Below are 25733 nucleotides of genomic sequence, written 5' to 3' on the forward strand. Positions count from 1 at the left end.
GGTATATACATAAATGATTGAATAAATGAATAAATAACTTCCATATTTCAAGATATTCCAGGTGGTGGTGCCAAGCATGTAATGTTTGGAAATAATGATTTTTAGTGTCAGGAACATTGTGATAGCTCCACTTAAGGCTGCTGTTTTTACATGGAGAAATTTTTAATTATTAATTACTCTTTTGAATCAGTATTATAAGCATGGTAGAAAATTCAATATATTTTTAAAGGTATATATTAAAAAGCAAATATCGGCCGGGCGCGGTGGCTCACGGCTGTAATCACAGCACTTTGGGAGGCTGAGGCAGCCGGATCACTTGAGGTCAGGAATTCGAGACCAGCCTGGTCAACATGGTGAAATCCCATCTCTACTAAAAATACAAAAATTAGCCAGGCATGGTGGCACACGCCTGTAGTCCCAGCTGCTTGGGAGGCTGAGGCAGTAGAATCGCTTGAGCCCAGGAGGCGGAGGTTGCAGTGAACCGAGATCACGCCACAGCACTCCAGCCTAGGTGACAGAGTGAAACTTTGTCTCAAAAAAAAAAAAAAAAAAAAAAGCTCCTAGAGTCTCTTCTTTGAGGCATTGCTCTTAAGTTTCTTGTGTAGTATCCCACAAACTGTTTAAGCATATATGAACATATTTGTAGGCATTCTTTTTTTACCCAAATGGTAGCATACTGCCCCTGCCCCTTTTTTCTTCATTTAACAATATAGCTTGGAGAACCTTCCATGTTAGTGGAAATAAAAATGTTTCATTCTTTTAAAGTGCTCCTTAATATTCTGTTGTACAAATTTCTCATAATTTATGTAGGGAGTTCTATATTGAAGTTGTTTCCAACATATTACTATTTCAAACAATGCTACAATGAAGATTCTTGTACTATTGACATGAAGACATTTTGATGTGATCAAAACAAACCAAAAAGAATGAAAAGAAAACATTTTTATTTATTTATTTATTTTTATTTTAGATTCAGGGGGTACATGTGCAGGTGTGTCACATGGATATATTGCATGATGCTGTGAGCTTCACTTGAACCTGTCACCCGGGCAGTGAACATAGTATCCAATAGGTAATTTTTTGCCTTTTGTCCCCCTCCCTCCTCTCTCCTTTTGGAGTCACTGGTGTCTATTGTTCCCATCTTTATGTCCGTGTATAGCCAATGTTTGGCTCCCACTTATAAGTGAGCATATTTGGTTGGCTTAATTTGTTAATTTCCTTAGGATAATGGCCTCCAGCGGCGTCTGTGTTGCTGCAAAGGACATTATTTTGCTCTTTTTTATGGCTGTGTAGTATTCTATGGTGTATATGTACCACAGTTTCTTAATCCAACTCACTATTAATGGACACCTGAGTTTACCCTATGTCTTTGCTATTGTGAATAGTACTGTCATAAACATTTGAGTGCAGGTGTCTTTTTGGTAAAATGATTTATTTGCCTTTGGGAATATACCTACTAGTGTGATCACTAGGTCACATAGTAATTCATGGTAATTCTTTGTGGTTCTTTGAGAAATCTCCAAACTGCTAAGAAAACATATTTTAACTTTAGGTTAAAATTTTTTTTTAATTATTAACTAATTTGTACATGAGATGCTCTTTTCTTTCCTTTTTGGTTGGTTTTGGCCATATTAAAATGTCCTTATTATAAGTACAAAATATTGGACCTTACCACATCATAAACTACCAACCCTGGAGTGTGACGGGATCAATCTGAGTTAAATGGTCTCTAAACATATTTTCTATCACTAAACACATGTTATATTGTGCTCCACTCTGCTTCCCAGTCCTCAAACTTTGTTCTGCCCCATCAGGGATGGGAGGGAGTTAAGAATCATCTTGCAGAGAAGCCACGTAACCAGGAGTTTACTGCACTGCCATCCATTGTTCTAGGCCAAAGTGTCTGTGCATTTTCTTTTTTGCTTTCTTTCTTTTCTTTCTTTCTTTTCTTTCTTTCTTTTTCTTTCTTTCTTTCTTTCTTTCTTTCTTTCTTTCTTTCTTTCTTTCTTTTTCTTTCTTTCTTTCTTTTTCTTTCTTTCTTTCTCTTTTTTCTTTCTTTCTTTTTCTTTCTTTCTCTTTCTTTCCTTTCTTTTTCTTTCTTTCTTTCTTCTTTTTTTCTTTCTTCTCTTTCTCTCTCTCTCTTTTTTCTTTTTTTTGGAGATAGAGTCTCACTCGGTCGCCCAGGCTGGAATGCAGTGGCACAGTCTCGGCTCACTGCAACCTCCACCTCCTGAGTTCAAGCTATTCTTATGCCTCAGCCTCCCAAGTAGCTGTGATTACAAGCACATGCCACATACCCAGCTAACTTTTTGTATTTTTCGTGGAGATGGGGTTTCACTGTGTTGGCCAGGCTGGTCTCGAACTCCTGGCTTCAAGTGATCTGCCCACCTTCGTATCCCAAAGTGCTAGGATTACAGGCATGAGCTATCATGCTGTCTGTGCATTTTCTGATAATCTTTTGTATCTTGAATAGTTTGAGTTTTTGGTTTTTAAAAAATATTACTTTATTTCTCTTTTAAAATTATTAATAATGTACTTTTTACTAATAAGTCCCTGCTTAATAACGAAACTTTTTTTTTTTCTTTTTGATACACGGTCTCACTCTGTTGCCCAGGCTTGTCTTGAACTCCTGAGCTCAAGTGATCTGGCTGCCTCGGCCTCCCAAAGTGCTGGGATTACAGGCATGAGCCACCATGCCTGGCCAAATGAAACATTCTATTTTCAATCTCAAGATCATGAAAATGGACTATAGCTCTTAGGAGTTATGATTACACTATTGTTTACCTTCCTATATCCTGAGGATGAGAAGATGTTGCTGGTTGTGGTAGTAGATATCTAGGCCACAATATGATCCCTTAATCTCAAGTCTGGATGGCATATGTAATCCTCAATTAAATTTCTAACAGATACTTTGACCTACGAACATATTTTATATTTAAGATTCAAAAACTCTTTCAAGATGTTTTGGGAGAAAAGATTGGGACATCATTAGAGGCTTACACAAATTGGACAGACTTTAAAAAATGTATATATATATATATATATACTTAAAATAATGGTAATATATAGTGTGAAAAAATCCAAATAATATAGAACTTAAAGAAAATGTGAGTCTCATGTAGTCTGGGTTGCGTTAATGGATGCAGTAGGGATCAGTAAGTTGTACACATAATTATTTGGTAATAAAAAATAAAATCCCAGAGACTTATACATTTTTTATAGGGCTACTTTGATTCAGGAGTGTTAAAATTGCTGTATCAAACTGACCTAATATATGGTGTCATTTTGACTCTTTTGCTCTGAGACTACCTTTGTCTTTGTCTTCCTTTCTCTTTCACTTTTCTTTCCTTCCTGGCCAAACCATAATCCTACCCGCCACATTTTACCTTTGCCCTCCACCACAAGCCCTCAGTGTCTTCTTTCTCTGGCCCTTTACCTAATTCTTCTATCCCCAACAGTCAAAGCATGATAAAAGTATAGTAAGCTATATTTTTTTAGATTACATTTCTTAATTTTTCTACTTCCTTGGGTGTTATTACATATCTTTGGTGATGAAGAGTTGTGGTGAAAATAAACTTTCTTTACTCTTTTTTTTTTTGAGAAGGGTCTTGCTCTATTGCCCAGGCTGGGGTGCAGTGGCACAATCTCAGCTCACTGCAACCTCTGCTTCCTGGGTCCAAGTGATTCTCCCACCTCAGCTTCCCTACTAGCTGAGACTATAGGCGCATGCCACCACACCCAGCTAATTTTTTTTTTTTTTTTGTATTTTTGGTAGAGATGGGGTTTCGCCGTGTTGCCCAGGCTGGTCTTGAATTCCTGCGCTCAAGTGATCTGCGCACCTCAGCCTCCTAAAGTGCTGGGATTACTGGTGTGAACCACTGAAACTGGCCATTTGTTTTTCCATTTTTTACTCTGGTTTTTCTCTTGATACCTTTGCCCTGGTGGATTTGATGCCCTTGAGAGCAAATAATTATGACTATTTGATTTTCACTGAGCTATATTAGCTATAAAATTTTTGAACCTCTTGGTAGACATAAATAAATTACAAAAATTAACTTGTCAGCATTTTATTTTGGTGACTGTAATAATAGCCTTAGGTGTGGGACTATAAAAACAAATAACTAAACAATTCTAATTAATTATGGAAGAACTGAAGTGATTAATGGGGAAGAACTGAAGTGATTAATGGGGATAGAAAGGAGTTTTCTCCAGAAATAAACATCTGAGATAAGTTTCTACCACCCAGTGTGATACTGAATTTTTGGAATTTGCTTTTCCGAGTAATGACAATGGAAAAAATGTTCTTTAAATTCATATAGCTGATATTTAAAAATCAATATAGAAGAGTTTTTTTTAGATGTAGAAATTCTATAATATGATAATTATATGATATTGGTATAATTTGTTTTCTTTTTTTTTGAGACAGAGTCTCACTCTGTTGCCCAGGCTGGAGTGCAGTGGCACAATCTCCACTCACTGCAACCTCCGCCTCCCAGGTTAAAGCGATTCTCATACCTCAGCCTCCCAAGTATCTGGGATTACAGGTGTGCACCACCATGCCCAGCTATTTCTTTTTCTATTTTTAGTAGAGATGGGGTTTCACTGTGTTGGCCAGGCTAGTCTCAAATTCCTCACCCTCAAGTGATCTGCCTGCCTCAGCCTCCCAAAGTGCTGGGATTACAGGCGTGAGCTACCTTGCCCAGCCTAATATTGGTATAATGTTTTAAAAGCTAGAAAACTGAGAGACATTTCTGAATGTTTATAGTCGTCTCCTGCCCTGCCCCTTTGCCCCCTGCTATTACATTTTTTTATTGATATCTAATTGTACAAATTTATGGGGTACATGTGATTTTTTGATACATACAATGTAATGATCAAATTAGGACATTTCAGATATTCATCACCATGAACATTTATTATTTGTGTTGGGAATATTTCAAATATTCTCTTCTATTTTGAAATATCCAATACATTGTAATTAACTATAGTCATCCTATTGTGCTATCAAACACTAGAACTTACTCCTTTTATCTAACTGTATGTTTGTACTCATTAACCAACTTCTCTTCATCCTTTTCACTCCCAGACACCCATCCTTCCCAGCCTCTGGTAACTATCATTCTACTGTCTACCTCCATGACATCACCTTTTTAAGCTCCCGTATAGGAGTGAGAACATCTAATATTAGTTTTTCTGTGCCTGGCTTAATATATTTCACTTAACATAAAAACCTTCAGTTCCATCCATGTTGCTGTAAATGACAGGATTTTATTCCTTTTTATGGCTGAATAGTATTTTATTGTGTATATATACCACATTTTCTTTATCCACCCATCCATTAATAGATGCTTAGGTAAATTCTATATCTTAACTATTGTGAATAGTGCTGCAATAAACATAAGGGGTACAGGTATCCCTTTGATATACTGATGTCCTTTCTTTTGGGTAAATACCTAGTAGTGGGATTACTGGATAATATGGTAGTTCTATTTTCAGTTTTTTGGATAAATGTCCATACTATTTTCCATAGTGGCTGTACACACTGACAGTGTATAAGAGTTCTCTTTTCTCTACATCCTCATTAGCATTTGTTAATTTTTGTCTTTTTGGTAATAGATATTATAACTGGGGTGAGATGATATCTCATCGTGGTTTTGATTTGCATTTCCCTGATGATTAATGATGTTGAGCACTTTTTTATGTACCATTGGCCATTTGTATCTGTTGAGAAATGTCTATTCAGATCCTTTGCCCACTTCTTAATGGGATTATCTGTGGGTTTTTTTTTTTTTTTTTTTTTGCTGTTGAGTTGTTTGAGTTTCTTACATATTTTGGATAATAGTCTCTTGCTGGATGAATAGTTCGAAAATATTTTCTGATTCAACAGGTTGTCTCTTCACTCTGTTGATTGTTTCCATTGCTGTGTGAATTTTATTTTGGTTGGCTGCTCTTTTGAAGTCTTAGTCATAAAATTTGCCTAGACCAATGTCCTGAAGCATTTCCCTTGTTTTATTCTAGTAGTTTTATAGTTTCAGGTGTATGTTTAAGTCTTTAATCCATTTGGAGTTGTTTTTGTATATAGTGAGATATAGGGGTCTAATTTCATTTTTCTGCATATGGATATCCAGTTTTCCCAGCACCATTTATTGAAGAGGGTGTCCTTTCCCAGTGTATTCTTTTTTTAATTTTTACATGTTTTTAAAATTTTTAAATTTGTATTAAAAATTTATTTGGGGATATATTCTTTTTAATTTTTTACATGTCCTTTCCCAGTGTATATTCTTTTTTATGTTTTACATGTTTTTAAATTTTTAATTTTTTATTCAATTGTTTGGGGGTACATAATAGGTATATATATTTATGGGATACATGAGATAATTTGATACAGGCATGCAATAAGTAATAATCACATCATGGAAAATGGGGTATTCATCCCTTCAAGCATTTATCCTTTGTATTACAAACAACTCAATTATACTATTTTAAGTTATTTTAAAATGTACAATTAAATTATTATTGACTACAGTCACTCTGTTGTGTTATCAACACTAGGTCTTATTCTTTCTATCTATTTTTTGTCTCCATTAACCATCCCCTCCCTCCCACCACCATCCCACTACCCTTCCTGGCTTCTGGTAACCATCCTTCTACTCTCTATCTGCATGAGTTCAATTCCAATGTATATTCTTGATGCCTTTCTCAAAAATACACTGGCTGTAAATGCATGGTTTTATTTCTGGTCTCTCTATTCTGTTCCATTGGTCTATGTGTCTGTTTTTATACCAATACCATGCTGTTTTGATTATATAGCTGTATAGAATGTTTTGAAGTCAGGTAATGTGGGGGCTTCAGTTTTGTTGTTTTGCTCAGGATTGCTTTGGCTCTTTGGGGTCTTTTGTGGTTCCATGTGAATTTTAGGAGGTTTTATTTTGTGAAGAATGTTATTGGTGTTTTGATAGGAATTGTATTGAATCTGAAGATTGCTTGGGTGGCATGGTCATTTTAACAATATTAATTCTTTCAATTCATGACCATGGGATGTCTTTTCATTTGTTTGTATCTTCAATGTCTTTCATCTATGTTTTGTAGTTTTCCTTGTAGAAGTCTTTCACCTCCTTGGTTAAATTTATCCCTAGGTATTTTATTTTTTTAATTTTTTGGAGCTATCGTAAATGGGATTGTCTTCTTGATTTCTTTCTCAGCTGGTTCATCACTGATGTGTAGAAATGCTACTGACTTTTGTATGTTGGTTTGTTGAACAGTTCCAATAGTTTTCTGATGGAATCTTTAGATTTTTTAATATATAAGATCATGTTGTCTACAAAGAGAAACAATTTGACTTCCCCTTTTTCCAATTTGGGTGGTATTTATTGATTTTTTGAGACAGAGTCTCGCTCTGTTGCCCAAACTGGAGTGCAGTGGTGTGATCTTGGCTCACCGCAACCTCAGCCTCCAGCTTCAAGCGATTCTCCTGTCTCAACCTCCCAAGTAGCTGGGACTACAGGCACATGCCACCACATCCAGCTAACTTTTTGTATTTTTATTAGAGATGGAGTTTGACCATGTCAGCCAGGCTTGTCTAGAACTCCTGGCCCCAAGTGATTTGCCTGCCCTGGCTTCCCAAAATGCTGGGATTACAAGTGTGAGCCACTGTGCCTGGCCTGGATGCCTTTTATTTCTTTCTCTTACCTGATTGCCCTGGCTAGGACTTTCAGTACTGTGTTGAATAAAAGTGCTAAATGTAGGCATCCTTATGTTTTAGTTTTTAGAGGAAAGGCTTTCAGCTTTCCTCCATTCAATAAGTTAGCTGTAGGTTTGTCATATATGGTCCTTATTTATTTATTTTTTGAGGTGGCGTCTCGCTCCATCGCCCAGGCTGGAGTGCAGTGGCACGATCTTGGCTCACTGCAACCTCTGCCTCCCCGGTTCAAGCAATTCTCCTGCCTCAGACTCTCAAATAGCTGGTACTGCAGGCATGCACCACCATGCCCAGCTAATTTTTGTATTTTTAGTAGAGACAGGGTTTCACCATATTGGCCAAGCTGGTCTCAAATTCCTGATCTCATGATCTGCCCGCCTCAGTCTCCCAAAATGCTGGGATTACAGGCATAAGCCACAGCGCCTGGCCCATATATGGTCTTTATTATGTTGAGATATGTTCCTTTTATGTCTAATTTGTGATTCTTTCTAATGCTTTTACTGCATCTATTGAGATGATCATATGACTTTTGTTGTTTATTCTGTTGATGTGATGTATTATCTTTATTGATTTATGAATGTGGAACCAACCTTGCACTGCTGGGAAAGTTTCACTTGATCATGGTGTATTTTATTTTTGATGTGTTGTTGGATTTGGTATGCTAGTATTTTGTTGAGGATTTTTGCATCTATCTTCATCAGGGATATTGGCCTGTGGTTTTCTTTTTGTGTTGTGTCCTTGTTTAGTTTTGGTATCTACTGGCCTTGTAGATTAGTTAGAAAGAATTTCCTCCTCTTCTGTTTTTTTGAAATAGTTTCAGAAGAATTGGTGTTAGTTTTTACTTATAAGTTAGGTAGAATTCAGCAGTACAGCCATCTCTGGTCCTGGGCTTTTCTTTGTTGGGAGACTTTTTATTACTGATTCAATCTCATTACTCATTATAAATCTGTTCGGGTGTTTTATTTCTTTCTGGTTCAATCTGGGTAATTTGTACATGTCCAAGAATTTATCCATTTTCTTTAGGTTTTTCAATTTGTTAGCCTATAGTTGTTCATAATAGTCTCTAATGATCCTTTATGTTCCTGTAACATCAGTTGTAATGTCTCTTTTTTTGTTTCTGATTTTATTTTTTAGAGTCTTTTCTCTTTTTTCCTTGGTTAGTGTGGCTAATGGTTCATTGATTTTATCTTTTCAAAAAAAACAAATTTTGTTTCATTGATCCTATTTTTTTAGTCTCTATTTTATTAAGTTCTCTGATTTTTATTATTTATCTTTTCCTACTAATTTTGGTGTTTTTTCTTGCTTTTATATTTCCTTGAGGGGTATTACTAGGTTGTTGATTTGAAATCTTTTTTTTAATGTAGATATTTATTAGTATAACCTTCCCTCTTAGCACTGCTTTTGCTATATCCCATAGGTTTTGATATGTTGTATTTCCATTTTCATTTGTTTCAATATTTTATTTCCTTCTTAATTTCGTCATTGACTAAGTGGTCATTCAGGAGTATGTTCTTTAAATTTCTACATATCTGTACAGTTTCTAAGGTTTCTCCTGTTATTGATTTCTAGTTTATTCCATTGTGGTTTAGGAAGATTCTTGATATAATTTCAATTTCCAAAACTTTGCTGAGATTTGTTTTGTGGCCTATATTGTCTATCCTGGAGAATGTTCCATATGCCAATTAGAAGAATATGTATTGTGCAGCTGTTGTATGAAATGTTCTGTAAATATCTGTTAGGTCCATTTGATTTAAAGTGCAGTTTAAATCCAATGTTTCTTTGTTAATTTCTGCCTAGATGATCTGTTTAATGCAGAGAGTGGGTTGTTGAAGTTCTCCACTATTATTGTACTGGAATCTGTTTCTCTTTAGATTCAATAATATTTGCTTTATATACCTGGGTACTCGCATGTTGGGTGCATATATATTTAGAATTACTATAACCTCTTGATGAATTAACCCCTTATCATTTGTATTAGACTCTTCTCATGCTGCTGATCAAGATATACCTGAGACTAGGCAATTTATAAAAGAAAGAGGTTTAATTAGACTTACAGTTCCACATGCCTGGGGAGCCTCACAATCATGGCAGAAGGAAAGGAAGAGCAAGTCACTTCTTACATGAATGGCAGCAGTCAAAAAGAGAGAGCTTATGCAGGGAAACTCCATGTTATAAAGCCATCAGATCTTGTGAGACTTACTCACTATCACAAGAACAGCATGGGAAAGACCTGCCCCCATGATTCAATTACCTCCCACTGGGTCCCTCCCACAACACGTGGGAATTCAAGATGAGATTTGAGTGGGAACACAGCCAAACCATATAATCATTATATAAGGACTTTGTCTCTTTTTGCAGTTTTTGACTTAAAGTCTCTTTTATCTGATGTAAGTATAGCTACTCCTGCTTGCTTTTGGTTTCCATCTGCATAAAATACCTTTTTTCGTCCCTTCACTTTCACTCTAAATGTGTCTTTACAGGTGAAGTTTCTTGTAGGCAACATATAGTGGGGTTATGTTTTGTTTTAAAATGTATTCAGCCAGTGTATGGATTTTAAGTGTATATCTTTTAAGGGGGAATTTAATCCATTTACATTCAAGGTTATTATTGATAGGTTAGGACTTATTCTCGTTATTTTGTTAGTTGCTAATCTGGTTCCTTTGTATATCTTTTGTTTCTTTCTTCCTCTCTTATTGTTTATCATTGTAGCTTAGTGATTTTCTGTAGAGGTAATATTTTAGTCCCTTCTCTTTCTTATTTGTATATCTGCTCCACTAGTAGAGTTTTAAACTTTCATATGTTTTCATAATGGTACATATTGTCCTTTCACTTCTAGATCTAGGACTCACTTAACCATTTCTTGTAGTGCTGGTCTAGTGGTGATGAATTCCCTCAGTTTTTGCTTGTCTGGGAAAGATTTTATTTCTCCTTTATTTTTGAAGGATAGATTTTCTGGGCATAGTATTCTTGGCTAGCAGGATTTTTCCCCTTCTTTTAGCACTTTGAAAATAACAACTCATTCTTTTCTGGCCTATAAGATTTCTGCTGAGAAATCTGCTGTTAGTCTGATAGGGATTGTATTATATATGACTTAACACTTTGCTCTTGCTGTTCATAGAATTTTCTCTTTATCTTTGACTTTTGACAGTTTTACTATAATGTGGTTTGGAGAAGACCTATTTGGGTTAAATCTATTTGGGGATCTTTGTGCTTTCTGTATCTGGATGTCTGTTTCTTCTAGGACTTGGGACGTTTTCAGCTACTATATAGTTAAATAGGTTTTCTATGCCTTTGCCCGTTGTTTCTTCTTCTAAAGCTTTCAAAATTAGAATATTTGATTGCTTCATGGTTTCCTATATGTCATACAGGCTTCCTTCATTCTTTTTCATTCTCTTTTTTTTTCTGACTGGGTTATTTTAAAAGATCTGTCTTCTAGTTCAGAAATTTTTTCTTCTGCTTGATCTAGTCTATTGTTGAAGCCCTGAATTGTATTTTTAAAATTTTATTCACTGAATTCTTCAGTTCCAGGATTACTGCTTGAGTCTTCTTATGATATCTATCTCTTTGTTGAGTTTCTTATTCAGATCATAAGTTGTTTTCCTGATTTTTAAATATTGTTTATCTGTGTTCTCTTGTATCTTACTGTGTTTCTTTAATATCAGTATTTTGAAAATTGTTTTAGGCATTTCAGATATTTCTTTTTCATTGGAATCCGTTGCTGGAGAATTGTGTTTCTTTGGAGGTGTCATGTTTCTTTGTTTCTTTATGTTTCTTTTGTCATTACATTGATGTCTGTACATCTATTGTTACAGTTGCTTATTCCAGTTTTGTGGGTTGGTTTTTGTAGGAAGAGTTTTTCCTATAAATGTATCTATAGTATTGGTTGGGCAGAGCACTTTGGCTTTGAAAGCTGGGTGGATGCAGTAGTGTAGTCTCCGTAGGACTTCTTTGTCTATAATCAGCATCAGTGGTGTCTGTGAGTTCTTCAGTGGCTTAGGCTGTGGTTGATAGTGAAGACTGTGGTGAGGTTTTGCTGGGCATAGGGACACCAGGCAGATCAGTCCTTGGTCCCCATGTGGCATATGTGAGCATCAGTGGTAGTGAGTCCAGGCAGGCTGATCCTTAGGCCTCCAGGTGGCTTGTTCAGGTGCCAGCAGTCACAGTGGTGGACCCAGTGAGTGCCAATTTGTCTACTGAATCAGGGTTTTAGTTCTCAGAGTAGGCAAACCCTTCTCCTGGCTTTTCAGGTCCCAGCTTCCCTTGACTGTGACTCCCAAAAGAATAGAGAGACTTTGCTATCCTGGCTGCAGTGCCAAAATTATAGAGACCAAGCGGAAACCTCCCCCTTGCCCTCTGAAGTTTCACTGAAAAATCAACTTTCTTTATAAGGAAAGGGAGAAAGGAGAGTCGGGGAATGTAGACAATTCTTTTGAGGGACAGTAAATAATTATTAGGGAGAATGAATTCCTCTCCTCCCTACCATTTATTAAGGTATAATTGATGATTAAAAATTGTATGTGTTTACACTGTGTATGATGTTTTGATATATATATACATTATGAAATTAATAAAGCAAGCTAGTTAACATATTCATGTCACAGATACTTATCATTTTTTGTCATGAGAACATTAAGGTCTTATCTCAGCAATTTTCAAGTATACAGTACATTATTTTTAACTATAGTCACCATGCCATACAGTAGATCTCCAGAACTTATTCATCCTCTCTACCTGAGATATTTTACTTTTTGATCAGCATCTCCCCATTCCCCCCATCCCAACCTCCCCCAGTTCTTGGTAACCATCATTCTCTCTGATTCTGTGAGTTCAGTGTTTTTTAGTTTCCACATATAAGTGATATCATGAAGTATTTGTCTTTTTGTATCTGCCTTATTTCACTTAGAATAATGTCCTCCAGGGTCATTCACTTTTTTGAAAATGACAAGATTTCCTTTTTTAAAATCTGAATATATTCCACTGTGTAGATATACATTACTTTTTGTTTATTTGTTTGTTTTTGTTTTTTATTTTTTAAATTTTTTTATTTTTTTTTTAGTATTTATTGATCATTCTTGGGTGTTTCTCGGAGAGGGGGATTTGGCAGGGTCATAGGACAATAGTGGAGGGAAGGTCAGCAGATAAACATGTGAACAAGAGTCTCTGGTTTTCCTAGGCAGAGGACCCTGCGGCTTCCGCAGTGTTTGTCTCCCTGGGTACTTGAGATTAGGGAGTGGTGATGACTCTTAACGAGTATGCTGCCTTCAAGCATCTGTTAACAAAGCACATCTTGCACCGCCCTTAATCCATTTAACCCTGAGTTGACACAGCACATGTTTCAGAGAGCACGGGGTTGGGGGTAAGGTTATAGATTAACAGCATCCCAAGGCAGAATAATTTTTCTTAGTACAGAACAAAATGGAGTCTCCCATGTCTACTTCTTTCTATACAGACACAGTAACAATCTGATCTCTCTTTCTTTTCCCCACCTTTCCCCCTTTCCTATTCGACAAAACCGCCATCGTCATCATGGCCCGTTCTCAATGAGCTGTTGGGTACACCTCCCAGGTGGGGTGGCGGCTGGGCAGATGGGCTCCTCACTTCCCAGACGGGGCAGCCGGGCAGAGGCGCCCCCCACCTCCTGGACGGGGTGGCTGGCCAGGCGGGGGCTGCCCCCCATCTCCCTCCCGGACAGGGCGGCTGGCCGGGTGGGGGCTGCCCCCCACCTCCCTTACATTACTTTTTTAATACATTCATTTTTCACTGGACTCTTGGGTTGTTTCCATATCTTGGATATTGTGAATAATGCTACAACGAACATGGGAGTGTCGATATCTCTTTGACATACTGATTTCACGTCCTTTGGATATGTACCTAGTAGTGAGATCACTGGATCATTTGGTAGTTCTATTTTCAACTTTTTCAGTGACCGTACCAATATACATTCTCACCAAGACTGCACAAGGGTTCCTTTTTCTCCACACCTTCTCCAATGATTCTTATCTTTTGTCTTTTTGGCAATAACCATTTTAACAGATGTAAGGTAATATCTCATGGTAATTTTAATTTGTATTTCCCTGATGATTAGTGAATGATGTTGACCTTTTTTTATACACCTATTGCCACCTTGTATGTCTTCTCTTGATAAATGTTCATGCAGGTCATTTGCCCACTTTAAAGATTGTTGGGGGTTTTTTTTGTTACTATTTGGATTCTTTATATATTTTGGATATTAACTCCTTCTCAGCCATATAGTTGGAAAATATTTTCTCTCAACATGTAGGTTTCATAATGTTGATTGTTTCCTTTGCTGTTGAGTTCAGTTTGCTAGTATTTTGTTGAGAATTTTTCCATCTATGTTCATCAGGTATATTAGCCTATAATTTTCATCTCTTGCAGTGTTTTTGGCAGGCTTTGGTATCAAGGTAATGCTGGCCTTGTAAAATGAGTTTGGAAGTGTTCCCTTCTCTTAGTTGTTTTGGATAAGTTTGAGAAGGTCTCTTTAAATAAGTGTACAGTTGACCAGTGAAGCCATTAGGTCCTGGGATTTTCTTTGTTGGGAGGATTTTGATTACTAATTTATCTCTGTACTCATTATTGGTCTGTTCATATTTTCTGTTTCTTCATGATTCACTCTTGGTAGGTTGTATGTTTGTAGGAATTTATCCATTTCTTCTAGTTATCCAATTTGTTGGTGTATAATTGTTCACAGTATTCTTTTATTATCCTTTTTATTTCTGTGTTATCACTCAGTTGTAATGTCTGCTCTTTCATTTATAATTTTAGTTATTTGAGCCTTCTCTCTTATTTTCTTAATCTAGCTAAAGGTTTGCTAACTTATTTATCTCTTTAAAAAACCAACTTTTAGGTGACCCAGTAATTCTGTTATTCATACAGACTTGCATTACTTCTTTATTCTTTAACCACCCTCCCTTCCCCATGTGTTTTTTGAGATCACAGGACACTCTAATCCCTGGGCCTTTCTGGGTTCTGATGTTGGTTGGTATTTACCTCTCCCCAGCATTTGGGTTCAATTTTCTTTTCTTCTACAAGGCCGTTCATATCTCTATTCATTTCGCATCCTCCAAATGCTTATCAACATCTCTTGTCCATACTCTCCTATTCTCCTTGTCTAAAAAACGTTGAAATGTTTTATTATTTTACTGTCATTTGCATGCATTTGGGAAAGATAAAAGAGATATATACATATATTCAACCATTATGTTTATCCAAGTCTATTATTATTATTTCTTAGTTTCTCTCTTTATTTAAAAATATAATTTTGACACCATTACAGAATAAGTAAGTCTGTTATGTTTTATTGCTTTAGTATTTGATTTCAGATTGTGGTAGGCAGAACACTAAGATGGCCCACAAGATTCCTATCCCCTGGTGTACACACCCTGTGTAATCCCCTCCCTTTGAGTCTAGGCAGGAGCTGTGAACATGATGGATGCCACGTCCATGGTTAGGTTAGGTTATATAGCAAAGGTGAAAGGTAATTGAAGCCCCTATAAGTTCACTTTGAGTTAATTAAAAAAGGAGATTATTCTGAGGAGTCTTTACCTAATCAGATGAACCCTTGAAAGAGGATCTAGAAGTGAGAGAGATTTCAAGCAACAGAAATGCTGTCTTGATGGCTTTGAAGGAACAAACAACCATGTGAACTACTTATGGAGGAGACAATACAGCAGGAACCTAAGGGTGACCTCTAGTAACTGGGAGTAATTCCCAACTGACAGTCAGCAAGAAAAATAGGGTCTTCTGTCCTACAATCACACAGAACTAATTCTACCAAGAAGCAATGAGCTTGGAGGAGGACCCAAGCTTCAGATGAAATTGTACCTGTGAGTAACATTTCAGCTTAGTAAGACCCTGAGGAGAGTTGCCAGCTAACCTGTACTTGGACATCTAACACATGGAAACTGTGAGATAATAATTTTGTATTGTTTTAAGCCACTACATTTTGGTAATTCATTATCCAGCAACAGAAAATGAATGCACAGGTCTGTCATGCTTCATATTCTATCATACTAAAGTCTATTGATACATGTATTTTTTCTCTCTGAGAGTTGGATATGGCCTTGGGGTTGAGGGATGGTGTGTGTGTTTATGATTGGTTGGTTGTTTTATTTAGCATATATTCTATTTCCTTACGTAAAACAATAAGATTGCTTTACTTTTACAGGCATTTCTAAATTATGATCATAGTTTAAAGAATATTATTAATTAAATCTTTATCATTACCAATTTTGGTGAGACAAATTCATTTGGTAATGAAATAATATTAATAATAGCAGCAACAATATCAGTAACTCCTAACATTTACTAAATGCATGCTATGTGGCAAGCATTGTGCAAAGTGTTTTTTATTTAATCCTACCAAGTATTATTATTATTATTATTCCCCTTTTACAGTTCAGGAAACAAAATCTTAAGGAAACTTCTAAAGGCCACATACCCTAGGAATGGTGGATCCAGAATTCTATCCCAGATTGCCAAACTCCTCAGCTTGTGCATTTAACAGTTATGGAAAACTACCTACAGGAATCTACAGAATGTTTATTATTATTATTATTTTTGAGCCAGGGTCTCACTCTGTTGCCCAGGTTGGAATGCAGTGGCATGATCACAGCTCACTGCAGCCTAGAACTCCTGGGCTCAAGTGATCCTTCCACCCTCAACCTCCCAAGTAGTTGGGACTACACGCACATGCCACCATGCCTGGATGATTTTTCACTTTTTGTAGAGATGGGATCTTACTATGTTGTCCAGGCTGGTTTCAAACTCCTGGACTCAAGCAATTCTTCCACCCCAGCCTCCCAAAGTGCTGGGATTACAGGTGTGAGCCACTGTGCCCAGCAAATGTCAGCGTTATTGAAAATAAAACAGTTGACCTTTAATATTTTTGCTTTTTATGTGTATGGTTTTGACTAGTCACATGCAGCTCTGCAGGCTTATGTGATTTTGCTGGAATGTAATTTCATGTTGCTTAAATTTGGGAGAGTGGAATTACTGGTGAGGGATCCCAGCTGATGACCAGGAGGTTCTCAGCTAATGGCTGTGTGTGCTCTGATGCTCATTAAGAAACCCAAGGGATTATTTCAGAGTTTGGATGTTTTCCTTTACATTGTGGGTGGAAATTATATGGTACTGTGAAGTAAACGGGTGGATTTTTTTTTTTTATTATACTTTAAGTTCTAGGGTACATGTGCACAATGTGCAGGTTTGTTACATATGTATACATGTGCCATGTTGGTGTGCTGCACCCATTAACTCGTCATTTACATTAGGTATATCTCCTAATGCTATCCCTCCCCCTCCCCTCACCACAGGACAGGCCCTGGTGTGCGATGTTCCCCTGCATGTGTCCAAGTGTTCTCATTGTTTAATTCCCACCTATGAGTGAGAACATGCAGTGTTTGGTTTTTTGTCCTTGCGATAGTTTGCTGAGAATGATGGTTTCCAGCTTCATCCATGTCCCTACAAAGGACATGAACTCATCCTTTTTTATGGCTGTATAGTATTCCATGGTGTATATGTGATGGGCAGATTTTTAATAATATTTGGCAAGAGGGACCCAGGAATGTCTGAGGGAGCTAGGCATAAGGACCAAAAGTAGGTGGAAAACAAAGGGCCATTTTATTATTGGATAGACCAGGCCAGTACCCCAATTATATAATTGAAGGGAGCTCTTGGCTTAGGTTTGAGGCCTAGTTTGGACATCCTGGTTCCCATCAAGCCTATATCCAAAGTTGGGATCTTTTACCACCTTCTGCCTGGCTTCCTGGTAGAGGAGCTTTCATTAGTGACCAGCAGGTTTGGGCATGTGTTCAGAAATAGTAAGACTGCTGGACCCTGAGGCAGCTTTGACTCAGTGAATATTCCTGCTATAGAGAAGGAACAGGAGCTAAAGATCCTACAAGGGAAATGGCTATGTGATGTGCTTCTAATAACAATGTCTGATGGATTATCTTGGATTCTAACCAATCAGATTAGCTCTTTCTCCTCCCTTGGTGGTATCTAGAAGAGCATGAGCATTCTTCCTCTTACAATGGCAATTATAGACTTGGGGACTTAAGGAGTCTAAAAGGACCTCCCAAGATGAATCTATTCTTATTATTTATCAGATTGATATATATCTGACTTTGATAAGAAGCTGAAGACATGTTGTTTAAAGAATGGACAATCCATTCTTTCCTTTGCTTATGTTTGGTTTTTTAAGTTCTAAGTCTGCAGGCATGGTGATATACAGATATGATGATGATTATATGGTTAAAACAAAACCTAAAACAAAATCCCCTATATCCTCACCTGTATTCAGATGTGGAGCATGATCTTACTTCCAAGTTGAAGGAAAAAAAAAAATCACAAAAGAGTATGGGATTGAGAAAGAATTTTGTTTCTAGCTGCTCTCTCCAGCCTGTTTATATTATGATGTCTATTGTGAGGCTGCCAATGTTGTCACCAAGAGTCACGTTCTATTAGTTAAATTATAAGGTGCAGAATGAGAAAGCTTTTGAAAACTATGATCAATGTTGAATTCCTTATAAACAACCAACTTTTGGCCTCCCCTTTATTACTTCCAAGTGAGAGTGCATTAAAAATATGTTAATATCTAGCTGCAAACTCAGGAGTAATTGCCCAGCCAGACTTTTGAGATTAATTATAAGTCCAGAGCTGTCATTACATTCTGACTGGTTTCTCCGGTCAGGAGTGGTCTGCCTCTGAACTAGTGCTTCATGTGCTCTTGACTGTGGTTTGAAAGGTTTTGAAGTTCAGTTGAAAATCTGAGCTGCTATCTCCCCAGTGAGTTTATCTCCTTCCAATTTATTTTGATGAGGGTCACATAAGGTAAGCCTATTGGATTTATGACCCCAGAGCCTATTAGTTTCATTGTTTATATGCTCAAAGACAAAAATATTAAAAATCGTTTAAGTGGAAAGAACTTTAGAAGCAGAATATAGCAGCAACCTTGAATAATTTATTCGATCAACAAAGATATATTAAGTTGTTCCAGTGTGTCTAGCACTGTTTGTTACAGGCAGTGGGGACACAGGAGTGGACCAAATAACAGCCTATTTGATACGGTTTGGTTCTGTGTCCCCACGCAAACCTCAGGCTGAATTGTAATCCCCCCTGTTGGAAGAAGTGATTGGATCATGGGGGCGGATTTCCCCCTTGTTGTTCTTGTGATAGTGACTGAGTTTTCATGAGATTTTGTTGTTTGAAAGTGTGTAGCACCTCCCCCTTCACTCTTTCTCTCTCCTTCTGGCCATGTCAAGATGTGCTTGCTTCCCTTTCACCTTCTGCCATGATTGTAAGTTTCCTGAGACCTCCCCAGTCATGATTCCTGTACAGCCTGTGGGAATGTGAGCCAATTAAACCTGTTTTCTTTGTAAGTTACCTAGTCTCAGGTAGTTCTTTATAGCAAGATGAGAGTGGACTAATACAGAAAATTGGTCCTGAGTAGTGGGGTATTGCTATAAAGATACCTGAAAATGTGGAAGCAACTTTGGAACTGGGTAATGAGTAGAGATTGGAACAGTTTGGAGGGCTCAGAAGACAGAAAGATAAGGGAAAGTTTGGAACTTCCTAGATACTTGTTGAATGGTTGTGACCAAAATGCTGATAGAGATATAGATAGTGAAGTCCAGGCTGAGGTGGTTTCAAATGGAGATGAGAAACTTATTGGGAAAGTAAGTAAAGTAAAGGCCACTGTTGCTATGCTTTAGCAAGCATAGCTAAAGCATGCTTGGGCCTTAGAATTATGGTGGGAGGCAAAAGGCACTTCTTACATGGTGATGGCAAGAGAAAATGAGTATTATGCAAAAGCAGAATCCCCTGATAAAACCACCAGATCTCATGAGATTTCTTCACTACCAAGAGAATAGTATGGGGAAAACTGCCCCCATGATTCGAATTATCTCCCATCGGGTCCTTCCCACACCTGCAGGTATTACGGGAGTGCAATTCAAGATGAGATTTGGGTGGGACACAGCGCCAAACCATATCAGTGTTCAACGCACAACAAGGAGGCCAGTGGGGCTGGAACACAGAGAGTGAGGAAAAGAGTACTAGGAGATTAGGTCAGAGAGGAAGTGTCAGGTTGGAAGATGTTATACTCTGGTAAGGACTTCTGTATTAGTCCATTCTCATGTTGCTATAAAGAACTACCTGAGACTAGGTAATTTATAAAGAAAAGAGGTTTAATTGACTCACAGTTCAGCAGGCTGAACAGGAAGCATGGTTGGGGAAGACTCATGAAACTTACAATCATGGCAGAAGGCAAAGGGGAAGCAGACACATCTTACATGGCTGGAGGAGGAAGAGAGCAAAGGGGGAGGTGCTACACACCTTTATACAACCAGATCTCATGAGAACTCACTCTCATGAGAACAGCAAGAGGGAAATCCACCCCCATGATCCAATCGCCTCCCACCAGGCCCCCCATCAAACACTGGGGATTACAATTTGACTCAAGGTTTGGGTGGGGACACAAACCCAAACCATTTCAACTTCATATTTTAGGATGTTAGAAGGGGAGCCTTCACAGAGTGTTTTAGTTTCCTATTGCTATGGTAACAAATTACCACAAAGTTACTGGCTTAGGAAAATACAAATTAATTATCTTCTGGTTCTGGAGGTCAGATATCCAAAATAAGTCTTGCAGAGTGTATTAATTTTCTAGGGCGGCCATGAAGCAAGTACAAACTGGGTGGCTTAAACATCAGAAATTTGTCGTCTCACAGTTCTGGAGGCTAAAATCTGAGATCAAGGTGTCAGCAGGATTGGTGTGAATAATAATCTGTTTCATGCCTTTCCACTAGTTTCTCATGGTTTGCTGGCAATCTTTGGCATACCTTAGTTTGTAGTGCCTCACCACAATCTCTGCTTTCACCTTCATGTGATGTTCTTCCTGTGTTCATGTCTGTGTCCAATTTTCACTTCTTTATCAGGACACTGGTCATATTAAATTAGGTCCTGCCCTAATGACCTCATTTTAACTTGGTTATCTCTATTAAAGACCCTATCTCCGGGTAAGATCACATTCTGAGATACTGGGGGTTAGGACTCCCAAATATTTATTTTTTTGGAGGGGACACAATTCAATTCATAACATACGGGGTTAAAATCAAAGTGATTTCAAGACTGCATTCCTTCAGGATACTCTAGGGGGGAATCTGTTCTTTGACCTTGCCACCTCTAGAGTCCACATTCCTGGGCTCATGGCCCCTCCCAGCAATGGCACCACTCCCACCTCTCCTTCCTTTGGCTCATCTTCTCTAACTCTCACTCTCTTGCCTCCCTCATATAAGAACCTTTGTTATTATACCTGGAGAATCAAAGATAATCTCCCACCTCAAGATCCTTAACTTAGTCACATCTGCAAAGACTCTTTTACCACATAAGGCCACATATTCGCAGGTTCTGGGGGTTGTAGGTTAGGGATTAGGGGATCAGGACATCTTTGAGGGATCATTATTCTGCCCACCTCAGAGGGTTTTGAGCAGAAGAGTGATATAATCTGCATTGTATTTTAGAAGAATCTCTGTACCTGCTGGGTGAAAGGGAAGAATTTGAAGCAGGAGACCCAATAGAAGGCTGTAGCAATGGTTCTGGTGGAAGAAGATGGTGCCCTGGACAAGAGTGGTTGGGGTGGAAGTGCAGAGAAGTTGTCAGATTCTGAATGTGTTGTGAAGATTGACTTGCCCATGGACTGCATGAGACAGGTGAGATAATGACAACTCCTTACTGTCTCTTTTTCAGAATAACAGTAACTCATATTTGTTTACCCCCTTACAATTTTCGACATGGTTTATACATTTATTTTCTCATTAGAATTCCCTACAACCTTTTTATATATATCATTATTTTACATGTATTTTACATAGACAAGACTGGAAGATCAGAGAGGTGATTTCTTCTAGTGATTTGATTTTTAGTTGTTTTGAGCCAAGTTTTTTTTTTTTTGAAATTGTCTTGAAATATGCTTGATGGGTTTTAAGCACAGAAATTACTAGGTAAGTTTATACTGGTGATGAAGGGAAACTGGTGTCCTCTGATGTCACCTATGTTTTATAAATAAATTCACAAATTCCAAAGCCAGAGATAGTTCCATATTTAGTTTGGTGAGGATTAAATGAGTTTATATATACAAAGAGTTTAGAACATTGTCTGGTACATGTAAGCCCTATATAATAATAATCATGACAATTATTATTTACTATTAGAGTCAGTACTTCCAAAAGATATTTGAAATGGCTATTTTAAAAAGGCAAAACAAAACAAAGAAAAAAATACAGGAAAAATTTGCATTTTGAGTTCCTAGAATAAATCAGTTGCTGCAGTTAAATGTTTTAGTTCTGAGCATCTAGGCAGCTATGTCAAAAATGAAAACACTGTTATGTAATATAGTTCTTGTTGATTTGTAATTGAAATCAAATTAGGTCATCTAAAGAAATGAACTTTTTATGAAATTCTAATCATAATTAAATGTGCAGATCCTTGTACAAAGGGGCTTTGAAACAATATTTTGGACTTTCTTAAAAGTCTTAAAGAAGGCCTTTCAGGCATGACGTTAAATCTTAATGCAAAGAAGTATTGTATGCATGTGCTAAACCCACATATTCTAGGTGTTTATTTTTTATAAGTGTCCATTTTCCCTCCTGTTGCCAGAGTGACTTTTAAAAATGCAAACACGATCATGTCACTCCCCTGCTTAAAATTCTTCCCTGACTCTTCATTGCCCACAGTGGTGGTCTCAAGCTTATTTTTAGTCATGGAACCATTTCTTCAAATTAGAACTTACACAGAAATTCAATATGTAAATAAAATATAGGCTGAGTTGCTCTGGATGAAGTACAGGTGAGGACCTGGCATCTGCATTTCCAGCTTCATCTACCTCTCTGCTCGTGCACCTTGTTCCATCCTCCAACCATCAGGATATAATCAGAACCCTTCAGTGTGGTCTAAACAACTTCCATTCAACCCATAAGTTGCCATGCTGGCTGCACTTAGTTTGAGCTTAGATGAGAATCTAACTTACTAACCAAACTGGTACAATTTTGAAAATGAGTTGTTAAAAAATTAACATTATATGAGTTTTGAAATATTTACTTATTGTTCAACAAACTGGTTTTATGTTATTGTTAAGCATATAAAACAATTCCATTAAAACTGTTTTAAAAGGTCTCTCTAAAAATATTAAAGCAAAAATAAAAAACAAAGATCAAAAATAAAAACAAAAAATAAAAAATTATTAAAGCAGATATATTGATTGAATATTTCAAAAAACACAAGTGTAATAATTACTCTTCAAACATAGTACTGTATTTTACTTAGTTTCTTAGTTTGGTCTGCCTTTAAGCCTATGACATTGTTTCTCTTCCTCCTCCCCTTCTTTTCTTTCTTTATTCTTTGAGTAAATAATGCTTTTTTCCCTAATTTGGTTCCAAAATTTTAATAAAATTGCCTCTAATCTTCAAAATATAATTTTATGATATATAAATGGAAAATGTTTGATATATTTACTTCTAGATGAAAATTCTATTTTTAATGAGAATATATTCTCTCTGTCAGTGGTGAGGTAATCAGTAAGCTCACAACAAATGCGGCTAAATAGAAGATATTCCCAATTCTCTTTTAAAATATATTAAAATGGGTAAACATTTTAGCCTAGATATTTTTCTTTCAATCTGGAATGCCTTTCTTTGACATGCACTTCTATAAGACAAATCTTGTAGATCAATATTTCTCAGGGCCAGGCTGCCAACTAGTCCTAGTGCTAGGCTGTGAGCTGGCATGCACTATGTGCCTACCCAGTGGCTTCTGGAGCAGGTTTGAGGCACCCACCAGCGAGCTTCAGTGTTGTCCTCCTACGAACTCATTCCTGTGAGAGCAGAACCTCTTCGAGAGCAGAAGGTGAATTCTAAAAAAGACCAAGCAGGAAAGGGCTGCTTGAAAAATAAGATATGAAAACTGGAAAAGGCTAGCCAAGAGCTCATTCTTGTTGCAGATTTTATTAGCCTTGTGAGGTTCTTGGATAAAGCAAGCCAGTGGCCTCAGGTGGAGCTCTCCTTGGAGGAGAGTGAGTGGAGAGCTCTGCTTCTGATGAGTGGTCTCTGTACAAGCAGCGAGAGCACACTATGGACAGGGACACCATCAAGGCTGTGCTGGGGACCCAGCAGGAAGCTCTGCAGGAGCTACCACTCAAGTCCCCTGAGTTCCCCACTGAGACCATCAAGTGGGACTGCAGCATGTTCCCCTTTGAATGGGAAGGTCCAGATTATACACTATGGGTCTCTAACTACCAGCCCCCCAAAGGCAGGTACAATGACATCACCAAGATGTACACACAGGTAGAGCTCAAGAGAGAGTTGCAGCAGCCAACCTTGGAACATGAGGCCCCGAGAGTCAGAATGACCAGGGTTCCAGTCGGCTTTCCACAGAATCAGGCATACTGATAATAAAGACATGTTTAATCAAAAAAGAAAAAAAAATAAAAGGAAGAAAAACGTTGTCTTTATGACTGTTTGGAGCATTTCACCAAATTTAGGTTTTGTGAAAATGTAGACTTCTCAACTCTATTCCATTCTATTCTGGAACAGAATGCCAATTTATCTGAATAAACGTAGGAGCTCCATCAAAAGACTCTTCAAGTTGAAATATTCCAAAGTGCAATTATAGAATTTCAAAATTAAATCCTGTATCCTGTTTAAATTTGTATTGTTAACATTTGTTCACATCCTTTTTTTTTGTATAGACAAATTTCATTTGCTCTTCTGTAAGTTTTGTTTTCAATAACTTTAATTCTCTAAAAAGTTTTGCAAGCTGAAGGTTTTTGTTCTTCCACTTGTTGAATGCCTTGATTTAAAATTTCAATACTTGTTAATAAAATGTGACCAAAATTTAGAAAACTTGTTTACAAGAGTTGTACGCCACTTGGGTTGACTTGAAAGTAATTTATTTGAAGAATCAAACATTTCAATTAAAGCTTCATGATATGGTTTGGATTTCTTTTCCTGCCCAAATCTCATGTTGAATTGGAGGAGGGGACTGGTGGGAGGTCACTGGATCATGGGGGCAGGTTTCCTTCTTGCTGTTCTCCTGGTAGTGAGTGAGTTCTCATGAGATCTGATCGTTTAAAAGCATGTGGCACCTCCCTCTTCTTTTTCTTTCCTGATTCATCATGGTAAGATGTGCTTGCTTTCCCTTAGTCATCTGCCGTGATTGTAAGTTTCCTGAGGCCTTCTAGCCTCATGCTTCCTGTATAGCCTGTGGAACTGTGAGTCAATTAAACCTCTTTTCTTCATAAATTACCCAGTATCAGGTATAGCAGTGTGAGAACAGACTAATAGACTTCAATTAAAGATTTATTCTTGATAGGTCCAAAACTTTGGCTGATGGGGAAATGGGGCTGTCTAGAACGCCAGATACATGTTACAAGGGGAGGGAGGAAAGTAAGTGAGAGCATGTCTTATTCTTCTTCTGAACTGGTGAGGCAGTCATCTTAGCTGTCCATAGTGCTATGGACCACTGGAAAACAGCCCCTTTCTTAATGTCTTGGCCATCAGGAATGGTCATCCATCTGGCAAACATTTGCAGTTTGCCTACCACGTGTTAGATACAGCCTGGGGTGCTGGGGTTGCAGAGTCAAACTCTTAATCTTTTTTCAGAATGAACCTATGGCAGGTGAGAGGGGAAAACAAACCATTTTACCAGCATATGATGGGCACTGTGATGGAGTTATAAATAGGGTCTTGTAGGAGCATAAAAGCAAGGGGCTGCAGACTGCTTGGATGAGACAAGCGAAGGCAGCTCCTGAGCTGAAGTTTGAAAACAAGTAGGCATTACTCAGACTGTCAAAAGGCAGGCATTGGGCAAAAAAGCAAGAGCATATATGTAGTGTAGTGACTGAGGGTGCCTAGTGTATTTAGGGAAACCTTCAAGTAGCTCTGTATGCTGGAAGTTGAGTTTGTGTTGCAAGTGTGGAAGGTGAGAAATTTGCCTAAAATCAACTGATCAGAGGCTGGTG

At 37.6% G+C, this 25733-nt stretch overlaps 1 long non-coding RNA gene and 1 pseudogene across 1 annotated transcript, besides 1 other annotated feature; both read left to right on the forward strand.

Annotated features, from left to right (window-relative positions):
- Positions 1-551: 551 nt before the first annotated feature.
- LOC124902957 (uncharacterized) lies at positions 552-24711 on the forward strand. Its single transcript, XR_007063354.1, has 2 exons — positions 552-1072; positions 21241-24711. It is a non-coding gene; the product is annotated as an uncharacterized LOC124902957 (long non-coding RNA).
- Positions 12684-13200: an enhancer, noted in NCBI's record as "NANOG hESC enhancer chr12:67734433-67734949 (GRCh37/hg19 assembly coordinates)". NCBI's record gives its function as "activates a minimal SCP1, AML or CMV promoter by ChIP-STARR-seq in naive H9 embryonic stem cells {active_cell/tissue: H9 hESC(naive)}" and the evidence as "EXISTENCE:reporter gene assay evidence [ECO:0000049][PMID:30033119]".
- Positions 23534-24072, forward strand: MRPL40P1 (mitochondrial ribosomal protein L40 pseudogene 1; annotated as a pseudogene).
- Positions 24712-25733: the final 1022 nt, after the last annotated feature.

This window comes from Homo sapiens, chromosome 12 (genome assembly GCF_000001405.40).
Source record: "Homo sapiens chromosome 12, GRCh38.p14 Primary Assembly".
NCBI classification, from domain to species: domain Eukaryota; kingdom Metazoa; phylum Chordata; class Mammalia; order Primates; family Hominidae; genus Homo; species Homo sapiens.